Source organism: Homo sapiens, chromosome 1, assembly GCF_000001405.40.
Source record: "Homo sapiens chromosome 1, GRCh38.p14 Primary Assembly".
Classification (NCBI taxonomy): domain Eukaryota; kingdom Metazoa; phylum Chordata; class Mammalia; order Primates; family Hominidae; genus Homo; species Homo sapiens.
The window spans coordinates 146,224,576-146,241,826 of NC_000001.11; the positions used below are offsets into that span (position 1 = coordinate 146,224,576).

The window sequence follows — 17,251 nt, forward strand, 5'->3', positions numbered from 1 at the left end:
TCCTGCAAATACTATTTTTAAAATGTCTAGGAGTACCACAGTTGTCCAAAATAAGAAAGTGGCTAAAAATAATTGTTCGACTGAACAAGTATTTATTGTGTGCCTATTAGATACCAAGGCATCATGCCAGGTACAGGGGTAGGGTATGGGCATTAGAATAAACACATAAATGAAAATACACGATTCCTTCCTCATGTACGCATTAACAATAAGCACTTGAGGATGTTATAAGAGTTTTTGTGCACATAAGCGCATTTGTACACGAGATGGAAGCAATGTGGACAGTGAATGAGGCACTGGACACCAGAAGAAAGGAATTCTAGTCTCAACTCTAATTGGCTCTGTGACCATGAACAATGAACATCAGAAAATGGAGGACCAAAACAGTGGCTCTCCTACAAGGTCACCAAACCAATTAATAACAGACCTGGAGAAGAATTCTGGTCTTCTGGCTCCTAGTTCAGTGATCTGTCCAAAATACTACACATATGGTAGACTGACAAAGAAAGAAAAGAAGACCTTTTGGTTTCAAGTCATTTGCAGAGAAAGGGGGGGAAACAAAAACAGGAAAATCAGGAAAGGGTGGAAGGAAAATTAATAGTTCAAATTTAGGCATTCGAACTGAGACATCAAGAAAGGAAGCATGTAACTATGGACTGTGAACACAATATAAAGAAAATGATGTAAAATTTCTTATATCCTTATTCAAATCACGCCTTGCAGTTTTTTACTCTAAAATCATTGCAGACGTATATAGATAAAGGGTCAAAAAACAACATGTATGAATGACATTTAAGGAAAAAGAGATAACAGAAGAAAAGGGAAAAGGAGAGGTAGAGAATTTATTATATCATCTAAATATATGAAGCCCTTCTAAAGGGTCAATGCAGACATACTGCACCCAGATAAACAGAAGAAATGACATTATATTCTATATCTCTTACGTTAGCAATTTTAAAATTCTTGAGTCAGAAGTGTTAAACACTGGAATGACTAAGGTTACATTTGTTATGGAAATTTCTTAAATTTAGAAAGACCTCATACACACACCTGAAGGTAAAAAAAAAATGTACTTAATCAGTGGGTTGCAACCAAGTTACTTGTCAGAATCACCTGTAAACCTTGAAAAAATATGGATTCTCAAACTTACCTTATCAGAATCCCTGGGTGCTGAGTCCAAGATCCACCCCAACAGATTTTGATGTAGCCAGGACACAGAGTTTTTTTCTACCATAATGGGAGAGGTAGGGAGGAGGATCACTAGGAATGGCAACACAGAGTGGGAACTAGATCAATGCAAATTTTGTGGGCAAAATAGAATTTCTGTGGGTGTGATATTTTTAAAATGTATTGTAAGGCTGCTCTGAACCATCCAAGCATATCCCACTGAATTTAAACATTCTCTAAAGGTCCTGAAGTCAGCAACTACAATCCAGGTGAACCAAAAGTTGCTTCTCTATGTCATAGAAGCCTACAGGAGAGGCAGTAGGGTGGGAATGGAGCAGAGAGATCCCAAGAAGTTATGGGTAAATATTTTTTAAATCTAAACATTCAGAAAAATAAGAGAGACTAGGAATCACTCTCCTCCTCCTCTCCACCACACCAAAAAAAAAGGAATAATAAGAAAGTGAAAGGAAAAATAGTTTTAGGTTAAATTTCATCACCATCTGAAAGAAAATTACTCCGATTTTGTTTAAGCAAGAGAAGAATTCAGCTGAGAAATTATCTAGCAGGCAGCAAAATCAGGGAGTCACTTCCCATTGCAAAGCAAAAGAAAACAAGGAGCAAGAGTATGGTCCTGGATAGCTGTTTAGACAATCAGACATACTGCTAACATCTCCTTGCCTTAGAAACTCCGTGATGTTTAAATTAACAATTGGCCACAAGCCAAACACAGGAACACTCAAAAGTTTAGAAGGGTGTGCTGTAATTGGTACCTTAGCAAAACACAATAATAAATTAGGAGGATTCAAGAAGCCTTCACTGTAGACTCTAAGAAGATTTAAGATTTGTACCAAGAAACAGGCTTCTAAATCTCTTCTACTGCATTAGTTTAGCATCTAAAGAACACCTGTCTAAAAATCAAAATATCTAAATCCTATCCTTTGAGTCAACTTGACTAACACTCAACTTGACTACCTAAAAGCTAGCTAATAATCGCAGCACCTCAGCAGAGCAGAGGTGGAGGGCATAGTTTTACGCACTGAGATCCTATAATAAAAGAAGCCCTATGTGTCAGAGTAATCCCATTTCTGACATATTATTTAATACTTAATTTTTCAAATCACTTTACAATCATATTTATTATTCCCTACAATTCTCTAAAGCAGGTTATTCCTTTAGTCCTGCTTCATAGGTGAGGAGACTACATATCATGAAGATTAAGTTATTTACCAAAACAAGTTAATGATAGACCAAGGATTATTACCCTCAGACTGTCTCATTGATTATACTCCTCTCTATCCTAAAGCTACACTTAAAGCTTTCACTCAAAGAAAAAGGAAAAGCAAAAACACCATCATATATGCTCTTTATTAAATGCTTCAGAAACAACAGCTCTGCTTCATCACTACAAAGCCTCCTGGTCCACTTCTGAAATTCTTAGTGACCTAGACGTGTACGAAATTTGAACTTTCCAAGAAGTATCTAGTTGGTGCTGAACAACCCAGTACTATTTTCGGGTGATAAATAACCTTGTTCTCTTTTTAAACATCTGCGATTGACATGTCGACTGACTGTTAACAATGAACAAAGACCATATTTTTCTGAAGCTCATCATCTTCCTAACCTTTTCTTTGAAAACAGATGTAGTTCATGTACTAGTTTTTTGGTGAAGGTAAAAATCTTTATTCAGATTAGGCTCAGAAAAAGAAGGGGCTGCTTTCCGTTCAACAAATATGCACAAGACACCATCCCACTGGGAGCATCAATCTCAGAAGCAGTAAAACACAGCCTCGGCCCTCAAAGGACTTTCTGAACACCTTTGGAGTGTCATCCGTTTAATATACATTATTTTAATTAATCCTATTAGCTGGATAATTTCATTCCCATTTTATTGGTGAGTTCATATAGCAGAGCTGGATTTGAATCCAGGATTACAGAGCAGGGCTCCAAAGCCCAAGTTATTTCCACTAAAGGGTCTGAAGAAATGTAGAATCTAAAAGTGTGGGTGGGATGGGGAAGATATGATTTGATTCCCTTTCCTTGGTCCAACCGTGTTAGAAACATCCAACCACAAAGAAGCTTTCTAAGGAAGCCCTTTGAATTGACGTATCCACTTTTTCTCACCCGCCCGTGCCCCACCCCCAGCCATGCCAAAGGAGCAGCAAATGCTGCTGCCAGGTTGGAGGAATTGGTGATCGTCACACCACATTCCTGGGTCTGGACACAGCCTGAAACAGCAGCAGAGCTCCGCGCCTCAGAAAGAATAACAGCAGTTGAGATTTTTAAATCATGTGCCTCAGCATGCAGCCACACCAGTTGCCCTACTTCTCCTGCCTCCACCTTTCAAAGACGCGAGCAGCACACCCGGCTCCTCCGGACTTTCGGTGGGGTTGGAGTGTCAAAACTCAGGCGCGCCGCAAAACCCCGTCCCCATCCAAACCAAGCCCACACACCCGGCCCATGTGCCGCCCCCTGGCAAAGGCGAGGCTGGCTGCGAAGGTGCAGGCCGTTTGGCTTGGCGGCCCTGCCCCCGCTCTCCACGCCAGAATCTGGCATTCCTTCGCTCAGCCCCTCCGAGGCCCGCCGTCGGCTCTCGCTCGACCCCAGGAAACGCGGAACCTGAAGGGCAAAACTGCCCACCTCCCTGCACCCTGGCACTACGAAAAAGGAGTTTCTGAGACTTGCTGCCGGCCTCCCTCCTGCCGAGGAGGCGTGTGAGGGGTCCCGGGCCGCGGGGAGCAGAGGCGGCGGGGAACCCCGGCGGTTGGCGGGGAACCCCGGCGGTTGGCGGGGCACCACGGGAGGGGCCCCCGGCGATGTCCAAACTCTCGGGAACCCAGCGAGTGGCCTCGCTCCGCGCCGGCGGCCGAGCCTGGCCTTCCCACACAGAGAAGGACCGAGGGGGAGAAGGGTCGCCCCAGGTGGCAGCCCCGGGCGCCGCGGACAGCGCCCCTCAGCCCGATACTCACCATGCGCGGGGGTCGCGCAGCACAGCCAGAGCGCCAGCAGCGCCCACAGCAGAGCGGGGCGCAGGGCGGGTATCTTCTCGGTCGCCTCCTCCGCCGCCGCCGCCGCGGCCGCCTGGGCAGATCCACATGGGGAGGGGGTCCCGATAGAGGAGCCCCACTCTCTCCTCCCCTCCTCCTGCTTCAAAGGCTCAGGCCCTGGCGCTACGCTCCGAAGCCCAGCGCAAATGCCTCGACTCCCCGCGCCCCGAGTCCGCCGCTCCTCGGCCGCCGCCTCAGCCGCCGCCCGAAGTTTGGCTGAAACTTTCTCGGGTGTGCAGCGAAGCAGCCTCGTGTGTCCTTCCGCCTCAGCCGCCTCCTCCCACCGCAAGCCCCGCCCCACTGTCGCCGCGGCCTCGGCCCCGCCGCCTTGGGCACCCAGGGGTTTCCCGCAGGAAGAAGCGCCGGCCCGAGCTCCGCGCGGAGGGATCTACTACGAGTCACTGGCCCCGTCCGCATCCTTCTCCAGCGGCCCCGGGGGCCGCCGCGCCTTAACTCGATCAGGGCTGCAGCGGCTCGCTGGCTTGACCAGTGCAGAAGGGGCGTGGAGGTGAGCGGGGTGGGGTAGGACTCTGAACTTCAAGCACTGGAGTTTGCCGGGATCGTGAACTTGCAGGGAGAGGCGGTCCTCATCCAGTGAGGTCTGTATCGCCACCTACACCCACACATCCACACACTGCTTTGCTAGCTAGAGGAATGCTCTGGAGTAGGACCAGTGCTGTCAAAGAAGGAAAGTGGGCCAAGGCGCCAAAGTCCATTAAAAAGGAATAGAGCCATCACGGAGTGGTGCTGCCCCATTCATTCATTCATTTGTTCATCCGTGTAGCGAATATTTCTTAAGTGCCTTACTTTGCGTAGCTGTGTGCTTGGCAGTGGGATGATACCAAAGATGCACAAGCAACTTTGAGTACCAAGACTTTGCCGCTGTGGGCTGGGGGATTCAGGGAAGGCTTTCCCAGAGGAGCTGGGATGAAAGCAGGATCTTGAAAGGTCAGTAAAATTTGTATAAGACAAGGAGACCAGCTAAGCTAAGGATATTCGTTGTAACACTGTAATAGCAAAACCTTGAAAACAACATAAATGCCCACCCTTAGAGGAATGGATGAATAATGTATGGTATATTTATAAAATGAAATGCAACACAGTAATTGAAAAGACTATAGCTATTTATGTCAATAGGGATAAATCTTAAAAACTAAATGACAGTGAAAATAATCGCAGAGGGAGACAAAGTATACCATTTATGTATATTTTTTTCAAGACAATACTACACATTATCTGTGGATGCATATATATAGATATAGATATTAAGAGACTATAACCAGAATAGTAGTTACTTCCAGGGCAGGAGAGTAGGGGGTGTGATCAAACCTGGGTACAAGTGGGCTTCTAAGAAAAGAGCTAAAAGTAAGAACAACAACAATAGTTGTATGGACATATCATTCCGGGAAAGAGCCCTCGTGAAAGCAAAGGTACAGTCAGAAGAGTAAGTAAATGAGTTCTGTCTCTGTTAGCAGTGAGAGGAGTCAAGGACGGAAAGGGGGTTGGGACCAAATTATGCAGCCTTGAATGGCAAGCTGAAAGGGTGGGGAGGCAGCTACCTCTTAGGTCACATAAAACTATTGAAAGTTTTTGAACAGAGTTGAGATTGATGGAAAGGAAGATTGCTCTGATAATTCTGTAGAAAATTGATTGTTGGGAGCAAGAGGTGAACTGGAGCCCCAGGACCAGTCAAGAGTTGGTGAACAGTCCAGGCACAAATTTAAGAAGACCTGAACTAATAAGGTAGATTTCAGAAGGAATGAATCTGAGACAATGTTAAAGAAACAGAAAAAAAAAATGGAGGTGTGACTAATTGGATGTGGGAGTTTACAATCCTGTTGGGATGAGAAATCCTACCCATAGAACCTCTCCCTGACTCCTATAGGATAAAATTCAAACTTCTAAACATGGTACATACAAGGCCTTTTCGTCATTGGGCCCCATCTCCTGTCCTCCCTGCCCCTGTTGTGAACTTCACACAATAACAGTATTACTTGAGATTCCCCCAAACATATCTTGCTGTTTCTGTCCCTGTATCTTTTGTTCCTTTGGCTTGGAATGACTCCTGTAGTCCCCTTCCCTCCTCCTCTTAATGAACTTCTAATCATAATTCATCCTTCAGTCCAAAGAAGGCTTTGCCGACACCACAATAAATTCCTCCCTCTAACAGACAGTCCCTCCACTGTCTTCCACTGCCGCTTCTTTATCTTAACACCGATACTTATTTTTCACACAGGACTCTTTGTATTTCTGTGTTCTCAACTAAGTTTTGAGGTCCTCATGGGCAAAGACCACAGCCTATTAATCCCCAGTGTCTATCACATAATAGATGTTGAACTAGAATGTAAAACAACACTAAGCAAGTACAAGTCAGTATGGGCATAGACCTATGAAGTTCCAAAACTGCATGTTAACAAGCACTTTAGGTAAGCAAGTATCATTAGTGAAAGTAGTCACATTGAAATACTGGAAACCCTTTTCAAAAATAACGTAGTCAAAATATTTTTGGAATTTGTCTTGTGCAAGTATGTTCAGAGAAAGATAACATTATTTTTCAGTTGTTTACCCACAGTGTTACCAGTTCGATCTTCCTCTTTACTCACTAAAGATAATTCATAGTGACTTGGCTGCATACAAATTTTAAAAATCACCTGCAAAGATAAGTTTTGTCACTATTAAAATATATTCAGAAGAATATAAGATAGTTATCCCCAAAGAGCAACTCTAGAAGCGACTGTAGCTATGACAACATTATTAAAATAAATGTGCAGGCCAGGCGTGGCGGCTTATGTCATAATCCCAGCACTTTGGGAAGCTGAGGTGGGCAGATCACCTGAGGTCAGGAGTTCGAGACCAGCCTGGCCAACATGTTGAAAACCCGTCTCTACTAAAAATACCAAAAATTAGCCGGGCATGGTGGCGAGCACCTGTAATCCCAGCTACTCAGGAGACTGAGGCAGTAGAATCACTTGAACCCAGGAGGCAGAGATTGCAGTGAGCCAAGATCGTGCCACTGTACTCCAGCCTGGACAACAAGAGTGAAACTCCGTCTCAAAAAAAAAAAAAAAAAAATAGGTATGCAGTTTCTCAAAGTAACCGTTTTAAAGAAAGCAGCTATTATGTTCACATATAACTTTTGTTGAATGTGTTACAATATGAAAACTTACTGCATACATTCTGGTAAGGACAAGAGAAGTAAAGAGTAAATATGAATGGAAGTAAGGGAAAAATATGACTGAAGACATTTTTTAAAGATAAGTTTTAATGATAGAAAAATATGAGTAAGGGCTACCAATTGTTTTAGTTTTAATCAAAACTAAAAATATACATCTATGTCTTTACTGATTTAAACTCACATAAAACTGCCTTCCAAAATAAATGCAGAATTGGGCACTTATTTGTTCTCATGTCTGTCCTCTCAGAGCCGACAAGCTGTAAAAAACTCTCAAAATAAAACTCTGTTTTATTTTCTGTTTTGCCCCGGTTTCTATCACATAAGTGCTCAATAATATATGTTTTACATAAATGCTGAATGAGGAACATATATATCTATATAAACTGGGGAGCAGTGCAAGACTGGAAGAATGTCTTGGTGTGTTGGAGAAGTTGAAGAAGAGATTGTGGGATAGCTATGACACATAGATTGAGCTACACCACGAATCTCTCCATGTAACCCAGGAACCCAAGGATATGTGATGAGATGTTTGTGGAAGCAGGAATTAAAAGGAAGATTTCTTTTAATAATGCCTTGCAGTTGCACAGTGATTTAGACCTTCCAAAAACACTTTTAATTATATTATCTCATTTGATCCTCAAAACAATCGTGGGAAATAGGCACCCCAGTCATTATTATCCCCATTTTGCAGATGAAGAAACTGAGATAGAGCTTTAAGTATCTTGCCCAAGGTTAAATAAGTAATTAGTGAGCTGAGACAAACCCCCCACTATTTCTGTCCTCTTACTCAGTCTCACTCCACTGTACCTTTGTGCAACAATGTGAAGCACATCCAAGATGATATTTAGTGTGGGGACCTCTGCGTAGAGGGACACCAGTTTCTTGTCACTTCCATATTAGCACAGAACAAGCTGGCCCACTGTAACTAGGAAACATAAACAAGTGAATACATTCTTTTAATTTAAAATTTTTTTGAGAGCCTGTTCTCTATAAAGCACATACTAGGCTCTGCGGCAATGCAGAAATAAATAAAACCTAGTCCCTGTTCTTTGGAGATCACAGAGCAGTGAGGCAGGCCAACATACAAATAACATAACTACAACAGAGATAAAGCACAGGGATATGGGAAAGTAGAGAGCACTGGGATTAATTTTGAGTCCACTTTCCTCTCATCCAGTCCCCAGCCTGAAAGATATGAACTGTGGTGGCCCACACAGCTGGACTGTAAACCATGTGACAAGAGTCATTTCTTACCCCTTATTCATGTTTGTAAACTCCACAGTAGTTGGTTCTTTGCCTTGCATAGAGTATGTGCTCAATAAAGACCTACTTTCTGAAAGGTTCACAGAGTTCAGCCAAACACAGGACAAGTTCTAGAAGGCAAGACGTTAACCTCAAGATTCAAACTAGCTCTGAGAATTAAGAACCAGCCAGACCCTTCCACTGAGCCTAGACCCAATTAATTACCTCTGCTCTAATTAAGGGAATCAGTAATGTAAGTAATTGTAATATGGGCGATATAGTTTGCCTGTGTCCCCACCCAATATCTTATTTTGAATTGTAATCCCCATGTGTCAAGGGAGAGACCAGGTGGAGGTAATTGAATCATGGGGGCGGTTTCTCCCATGCTGTTCTCCTGATAATGAGCGAGTTCACGAGATCTGATGGTTTTATGTGTTTGGTAGTTCCTCCTGCATTAATTTTCCTTCATGCTGCCTTATGAAGAAGGTACCTTGCTTCCCCTTTGCCTTCTGCCATGATTGTTAAATTTCCTGAGGCCTTCCCAGCCATGCTAAACTGTGAGTCAGTTAACCTGTTTCCTTTATAAATTACCCAGTCTTGGGCAGTTCTTTACAGCACTGTGAAGACAGACTAATACAGTGGGCTTGTTGACATAGTTTTGCCCTTTTATGAATGTGATTATCTCAATTTTATTATGTTAAGGAAGGACACAGTGGCCCACACCTGTAATCCCAACACTTTGGGAGTCCAAGGCAGAAGGATGGCTTGAGCCCAGGAGTTCAAGACCAGGCTGGGCCACAAAGTGAGACCCTGTCTCTACAAAAAATTAAAAAACTAACTGGGCATGGTGATGCATGTCTCTAGTCCCAGCTACTCGGGAGGCTGAGGTGGGAGGACCACTTGATCCCAGGAGGTTGAGGCTGCAGTGAACCATGTTACCACTGCTGCATTTCAGCTCGGGTGACAGAGCAAGACCCTGTCAAAAAAAAAAAAAAAAACTTACCTAGAAATTTCACATCTTCTGCTATGCTTGAGATAAGCAGGAAAATTCATATAGGAATGCTCACTGTATCACTCCCTTAAAATCTTCTTTTAAGCATTTTATGCTAGGAGGTATTACACTTCAATTCCTAAGTAGGTGTGTACTTTTTGTATATAATGATGTATGAAAAGGTTGACCTGTATGCACCAAGATGTCTCCCCAATTTAACAGTATCATAAATTCACAACTGTGTAATTATCAAACCACAGTATTATTGGATGAGTCTCAGTGCTTTAGTCACTAAAATGGTTATGCAATTTTGAATATTTATTGACGTTGTTCTCAGGGACTGTTGAATTGTTTTTACTCACATTCTTATATTCTTCCTTCATAATTAGCCAAGACATTCTTGACAGCAAGATTCAGGCATACAGAAAGTTTCTACTTCAAAATATGGAAAATCTTCTTACCATCTAGGTGCAGATCATATCTAAGTCCCCCGAAGAAAAAGAAAATGGAAACTTTTCTTACTAAGTGGAATTCAAAATGGTTAACTAAGTATGAGAGAGGGGACATCAAAAGTAAGGAAGAGAAATCCCATTATAAAAAGTGTGCACAGGCCAGGCACAATGACTCACACCTGTAATCCTAGCACTTTGGGAGGCCAAGACGGGAGGATCACTTGAGGCTAGGAGTTCAAGACCAGCCTGGGCAACATGTTGAAACCCTAACTCTACAAAAAATACAAAAATTAGCTGGGCATGGTGGTGCACGCCTATGGTCCCAGCCACTCAGGAGTCTGAGGTGGAAGAATCACCTGTGCCTGAGAAGTCAAGACTGCAGTAAGCCGTGATCACACCACTCCACCACTCCAGTCTGGGTGACAAAGTGAGACCCTGTCTCCAAAAAAAAAAAAAAAAATGCATTAAAAATCTCCTTCTAAGTAAGTAATTCATTGGGAGATAATTAATGGCTGGAAACAGGTATTTATAATGGAAGCATACATGGCCTTAACGATAGGGTTTGCTTCTGAAAACACTCTAATTAAAAAGGGGAAGAGTAATTTTATAGGAAAGTACAAATCAGTGGTGTGTATGTCTACCAGTGTGTGCAAAGAGACAGAGGTGGTAATTGCTGGACTCAGACCAGGTATCAGCAACAACTAAACATAATGACCTTATAAATATGCAGATAGGATTTCTGACAAAGCTAAAAGTACATCATTATTATTATTCATCAATGTGGAATGGAATGTGAAATTGGAATCAGCAGGTAAGGGGTGGTTGTACCTGAATATCCTGGATACCAACTTGTTTTTGTTTTTAATCATTCTAATCTCTGTTAAGAATAATGTCACATGACTACTTTATCCTCTTTCTCAGACCACTGATCCAACCATTTTTCTTTCACACTTTTGCCTCCTTTCCTCTTATAACAGGTACTAACAGTCTAAGCAGAAAAAGAAGAACAGATGGTGGTAAGACCTAGAATGTTTACCCCATTAAGATCTATATCTGAATCCAGAAGGAACACCTCATTGCCGAGAAGAGCCCTGCAGACAGTTCACACCTCTGTTTCTTTTGCAAGATATAGCTACCTCAAAAAATCCTTTCTTGATCAAACTCTTATGGCCTGGAATCCTTGCGTTTCTGCTGATGACTGTCATTTTAGAGTACTTACTAAAGACAATGGTTGGGGAAATAGATATTTTAAAAATAAGGGAAAAAGTGGGTAGGGTAAACCCAGGCTTACTTATGTAAACTCTGAGTGCTGAAGTTAGAAGACAACTTTTAAGATTAAAAAAAAAAAAAAAAAAAAAGATTTCTGGTAGCCGCCAGAAGCTAAGAACAGATTCTCCCTCTGAGCCTCCAGAACCCAGATGACACCTTGATTTCAGACTTCTGGCCTCCAAAACTGTGAGAGAAGAAATGTGTTGTTTTAAGGCACCCAGCTGGTGACAGTTCATCACAGTAGCCACAGGAAACTAATACCCAGCCCCATGGCAGGCATAGGTCAAGCCTGGCACAGTCTGGATCTCAGTCCCTGACTCAGACCCTGGATGCTCGCTGCCTTGTACAGAAACAACCTGCTCAACCAAACAGGGTGACCCTGCTGAAGCCGCAAATGTCCAACAGTCCTGCCAACCGTGGATGCTTCTGTAGCTTCCCTTTAGCTCTCCCTCCTGGCATGAAACCAGACACAGACTACCCAGAAGATGAACTGAGCACTCTGCAATGGGCCCAGCACGCTGCTGCATCTGAGACCATCTTCTCGGCCCTAACAACCCTGGCAGGCTCTTCTCTCTGGTGGGGAAATTGGGCTTAGGGAAAGGACATCTTTAGGACAGTCATCCCACCAAGTAGAATGACTCTATGCAGCCTGAATACTGTTTCCCTGGGAGGAAAAAAATCCAAAGCATAAACTTTTATAAGCTGTTTTAATTAAAACACTCTTTGTAAAGTGATGTATTTGAAGCAAGGGAGGAGAAAGGTTTTCTGGCAAAAGTGTCTTTTGTGGTGTTTCTTTGGTGAGCAAAAGGAACTCAACTGATGAAAACACCAAAGCACAAACATTCTGTGGCCAGTAAAGTGGGTGGAGGGGGCAATGGAGACAACCTCAGGTGGGGCCCAGCTTGTAACGCTGGCAGGGCTCTGTTAATGTGCTCCATAAAGGGCTTTGGAGGGCAGGAGGAGCACCACCAACATTTTAAATGTGAGGCCAACCATAAAACGATTCATGATTAGTCCACTAAAATGTGTTTATTGGCAAATAGGAAAGAGATCCCTGAAAATAAGCAGGAACAGGTGATTTTCAAGGCTGACTTAGGTCTCCTATTCAGCTACTCAACAATTATATCCGAGCTACGTGCAGTGGCTCACCCTGTAATCCCAGCACTTTGGAGGCTGAGACAAGAGGCGAAAAGTTCGAGACCAGCCTGGGCAACCTAGCGAGACACCATCTCTATGAAAAATTTAAAAATTAGCCTAGCATGTGTCTTGTGCCTGTGGTCCCAGCTACTCAGGAGGCTGAGGTGAGAGGATCACTTGAGCCCCAGAGGTTGAGGTTACAGTGAGCTGTGATCACACCACTGCACTCCAGTCTGGGTGACAGAGTGAGACACTGTCTCAAGAAAAAACAAAAATTAAAACAAACAATAACAACAACAACAACAACAAAAAAAAACGGCAAAGTTAGAACACACAAAAGATAGTATAGTTCCTTACCCATCCACCACTTGGTTTTGAGGAGAAAAGGGAAGTAAGAAGAGTTGAAGAGAAGAAAAACAGAACAGAAGAGTGGGAAAGGAAGATGAAAGGGTGCTATGGAGTACTATGCACCTGTTTAGAAGTGGGGAAGTAGCACAAACACTAGCAAAAGAAGAACCACCATGGAGTTCCTCCTTGCACATCTCTCTCCCCTCCTGAAGGCCTAGGGTGAGCCCACAGCATTGTTCCAGCAGTGAGGGAGTCTTCACTGCCTCCTGAGACTCTCTCACGGCTCTTAAGATACCTCCCTGAAGTCCCTCCAAAGAATTCAATGTGCCCCTAGTCTAAATCAGTTTCCTCCATCATAAATACTCATAGATGACGCAACAATAAAGCGTTAATAACGATAATGGCAATTTTGTGTGTCAAACATTGTATTAAGCATTTTACCTGCTTTATTGTTTGTAATGCTTCAACAGCTTATGAGAAGGTATTATTATTTCTACTTCACAGTGCAGAAAATGAAACCTGAGTAAGTTGTCTTAGATCACACAGCTGCTAAGCAGTGGCACAGGGATTTAAGCCCAGGTCCATCTGATCAACTCCGATGGCACATAATTGACCTCTGCATTGTCCCGCCTGCCCACAGGTCACTGCCTCAGTGATCCAGTCCCATCCGTTGTTTAGATAACTGAATAAGTTATCCTCGAATCATTTATTGTAAGCCTAGTCTCTCAAGTTTACTGTGAGTCAAGGGCTAGGTCATATACCTCTTTTGTGCTCTTCTATATCGTGGCATCCAACCTCTTGCTTGTCAGCTTCCAACTCTGGCTCAACTTAAGGACTTCTTTTCCTGGCATCTGTCCCTTATATGGGAGGTGTTCATACAATTCTACTGATTGTTTTCACCTTACAACTTTTTATTTTGAAATACTCTCTTCTAAGTGTTCCTAGTAAATTTTTTAAAGCCAGCAAGGAAAAAAAATTCTATTTATTGCCAACTAATTATAAACATTAAAACATCAATTTAAAATTTAAAGGAAAAATGACCTATAATACCACCACTAATAGCATTTTCATGTGTTTTATTCATTTGTTCTTCATATGTATGTTCTTACAGAGTTGTAATCAAGACATACATATAGTTTTGTTTTGTTTTGTTTTTTTTAAGATGGAGTCTTGCTCTGTCGCCCAGGCTGGAGTGCAGTGGTGCGATCTCGGCTCACTGCAACCCCCACCTCCCAGGTTCAAGTGACTCTCCTGCCTCAGCCTCCCTAGTAGCTGGGATTACAGGCGCACGTGACTATGCCTGGCTAATTTTTGTATTTTTACTAGAGACAGGGTTTCACCATGTTGACCAGGCTGGTCTCGAACTCCTGACCTTAGGTGATCCACCTGCCTTGGCCTCCCAAAGTGCTGGGATTACAGGCGTGAGCCACCATACCTGGCCGACATACATATAGTTTTTATCCAGATTTCTTAGGCAATTCATATACCATAAATATTTTCCTTTGTTGTACATAGTTGCCATACATAGCATTGTTATTGTCTGCAAAATATTCCAGCCTTAATTAATATATAGAGCTAGAATACTTTCTATATTAGTATTGGGATCTGTATCCAGAAGTTGTCCATCTTATTTCAAAGACAGCCTTTGGGGACAATCCCTCCATACTTCTTTTATTGCCAATCACAATTGGATGAATAAGTGGACTCTTTCTTTGTCTTGAATCAGGGAGATGGATCAGCCCAAAAGAATCCCCTGCTGTTGTTCTCCAATCCCCTCCCTAGCATTTACAAGTCTTCACCTCTCTGCTGTAGCCTCTTTCCTTCTTTCTGTTCCCCATTTTCTTCCCAGCAAAAGGCTTCACTTCCTACTTCACTAAAGACATCTCCTAGTTCAAATATCACCTCCCCTGCAAAACCTTCCCTAGCCCTCACCATTTCTACACTGACAGGCCATCTAAGGACTCCCTACCATCTCCCATCTCAACCTCACAACTCATCACTTATGTACCCACCTTTACTTCCTTGTGTTGTATCTCAGAAAAAAAGAGTCTTTCCTTCTTTCAATGCTAATTCTTCAGCATTGGCCATTGATTTAATTCCCTTCTGCCTTCTCCAGGACCATTTTGCATTCAATACCCACTGATTCCCACTGTCTCATCATTCATCTTTCCCTCTCTACTGGCTTAATCCCTCAGCCAACAGTTTTCTTCCAGACACACACACACACACACACACACACACACACACACACACACACACACACATTTTCTATTGTATTTCTATTTCAAATTCATCTTTCACTTCCAAACCTCTTAAAACAGTGGTTTGTCCCTTTCTGTTTTTATTTCTGCAATTTATTACAGCTTCCTCTTCTTACATTTATTGAGCACTTAAGATGTAAAAACAATATGGAAATAGAGATCGATAAAGCAGTCCCTACTCCCGAAGAGCTTCTAGTTAGTAGGGAAGATAGTAAACCAAATCAACACAACAAATAATATACATTTTATGACATAAATATGTGCACAAGTATCCATGGGGGGCTGCCTGGAGGAAATTGGAGAGACTTCCTAGGGAGGTGACATTTGAGTTAGGCCTTGAACAATGAGTTCAATATTATCAGGCAGAGACTGTACATATATTGCACATGACTGACAGGAACAATTTATGCAGATAACTGAGAAACCATATTAATGATTACTTAGGAAATATCAAATAATTCAGGTGTCATCAGAGTAAGGAACGTCTGGGGAAGAGATGAAGAGTCATTTAGGCTAGTTGTTCTCAAACTTTAGCATTTATCAGAATCATCCAGAAGACTTGTAAAAATGCCAATTGCTAGGCTTCATTCCCAAAGTTTTGAAAGGGGTGTGGGTTGAGCCAGATAAATTACATTTATAACATTCTCAAGTGATGCCAGTGCTGCTGATCTAGGGACCACACTTTGAGAACTACTGGCTTAGTAATCCAGCTTCTGCTTCAGTCGTTATAGTGAAATTACTTTTAGATGTCACCAAAGATCTCCAACTGTCAAATGCAATGAACTCATTCTCAGTCTTCATTTTCCTTGATGAGTTTGCAGCATTTGACATCATTGGCAATTTCAGTGAGCTCTTAACTGTCTCCCAGCTTTTAGCCTCTCTTTTAGTCCATTCAGTACTCTGAAGCCCACAGGATTGTCCAAAATACAAGTATAAACCCATCACTTCATACTTAAAACTCACCAATGGCTCCCCATTCTCTACAGTTAAAGCCCAAACTGGACAGACTGGCATGGAAAATCGTTGGCATTCCGACCACATTTACCTCTCCCCCTGCTGCTGCCCAGGATTGCATAGCCTTTGTTCCAGGCACATCAAGCTACCAGCCAGTCCCCAGACATGCTGTGGGCTCATGTCCTCTTCACCTTCATATGTGCACTTCCCTTTGCCTATAATGCCCTTGCTGCCTCCCCTCCCCTATCCCATCCTCCCCTGGATCCATAGTGATATAGTTGACCCATAGTGATATATGGTTTGGATGTGTGTCCCCTCCAAATCTCATGTTGAAATGTGATCCCCAATGTTGGAGGTGGGGCCCAATGGGAGGTGTTGGATCTTGAGGGCAGATCCCTCATGGATGGCTTAGCGCCATCCCCTTGGTGATAAGCAAGTTCTCACTCTTTTAGTTCACAGTAGACCTGGTTGTTTACAAGGAGCCTGACACCCCCCCCCTCTTGCTCCCTCTCTTGCCATATGACACACTGGCTCCCCTTTGCCTTCCAGCATGAATGTAAGCTTCCCAAGGCCCTCACCAGAAGCAGATGCCAGCACTCTGCTTCACCTACAGCCTGCAGAACTGTGAGCCAAACATACCTCTTTTTTTCTTTTTTTCTTTTTTTTCGTGACAAATTCTTGCTCTGTTTCCCAGTCTGGAGTGCCCTGGTGCAAGCTCCGCTCACTGCAACCTCTGCCTCCCAGGTTCAAACAATTCTCATCCCTCAGCCTCCTGGGTAAGTGGGATTACAGGCTTGTGCCACCACACCCAGCTAATTTTTCTATGTTTAGTAGAGACAGGCTCTTGCCATGTTGGGGAGGCTGGTCTCAAACTCCTGACCTCAAGTGATCCACCCGCTTCAGCCTCCCAAAGTTCTGGGATAATAGATGTGAGCCACCAGTCCTGGCCAAAATAAACCCCTTTTCCCCTTAAATTACCCAGTCTCAGGTATTCCTTTATAGCAATGCAAAATGGACCAACACCTATGGAATTTTGGGTGAAGGCCTAGCTCCAATGTCATCTTCTCTCCAAAGCCTTCCTCAGCTTCCTGGCTCCTTTCCCTGAGGTCCTCCACGGTTGGTTTCTATGTATTATATATACCACTTAACAACTAGTTGAACATGTGATTACTATATGCGGACTTGCTTCAGTCTCTGAATCTTACTCTGAA

General features: G+C 43.1%; 1 protein-coding gene and 1 long non-coding RNA gene across 6 annotated transcripts in view, besides 2 other annotated features; one reads left to right on the plus strand and one right to left on the minus strand.

The window, feature by feature from the left end:
- NOTCH2NLA (notch 2 N-terminal like A) overlaps positions 1 to 4,446 on the minus strand; it is an 80,157-nt gene extending 75,711 nt beyond the window's left edge. For all 4 annotated transcript variants that reach the window (NM_001364006.2, NM_001395231.1, NM_203458.6 and 1 more), the window contains exon 1: positions 4,134 to 4,446. In NM_001364006.2, the coding sequence (NP_001350935.1) occupies positions 4,134 to 4,136 (3 nt within the window). In that variant the 5' untranslated portion in view covers positions 4,137 to 4,446. The remainder of the gene's footprint in view (positions 1 to 4,133) is intronic.
- Positions 3,583 to 4,063: an enhancer, noted in NCBI's record as "H3K27ac hESC enhancer chr1:145209507-145210007 (GRCh37/hg19 assembly coordinates)". NCBI's record gives its function as "activates a minimal SCP1, AML or CMV promoter by ChIP-STARR-seq in primed H9 embryonic stem cells {active_cell/tissue: H9 hESC(primed)}" and the evidence as "EXISTENCE:reporter gene assay evidence [ECO:0000049][PMID:30033119]".
- Positions 4,064 to 4,564: an enhancer, noted in NCBI's record as "H3K27ac hESC enhancer chr1:145209006-145209506 (GRCh37/hg19 assembly coordinates)". NCBI's record gives its function as "activates a minimal SCP1, AML or CMV promoter by ChIP-STARR-seq in primed H9 embryonic stem cells {active_cell/tissue: H9 hESC(primed)}" and the evidence as "EXISTENCE:reporter gene assay evidence [ECO:0000049][PMID:30033119]".
- LOC105371254 (uncharacterized) lies at positions 4,158 to 13,226 on the plus strand. Of its 2 annotated transcripts, none has more exons than XR_007066565.1 (2): positions 4,158 to 8,881; positions 11,049 to 13,226. It is a non-coding gene; the product is annotated as an uncharacterized LOC105371254 (long non-coding RNA). The 2 variants fall into 2 exon arrangements; XR_922087.4 differs by having other exon boundaries at positions 4,560 to 5,159.
- Positions 13,227 to 17,251: the final 4,025 nt, after the last annotated feature.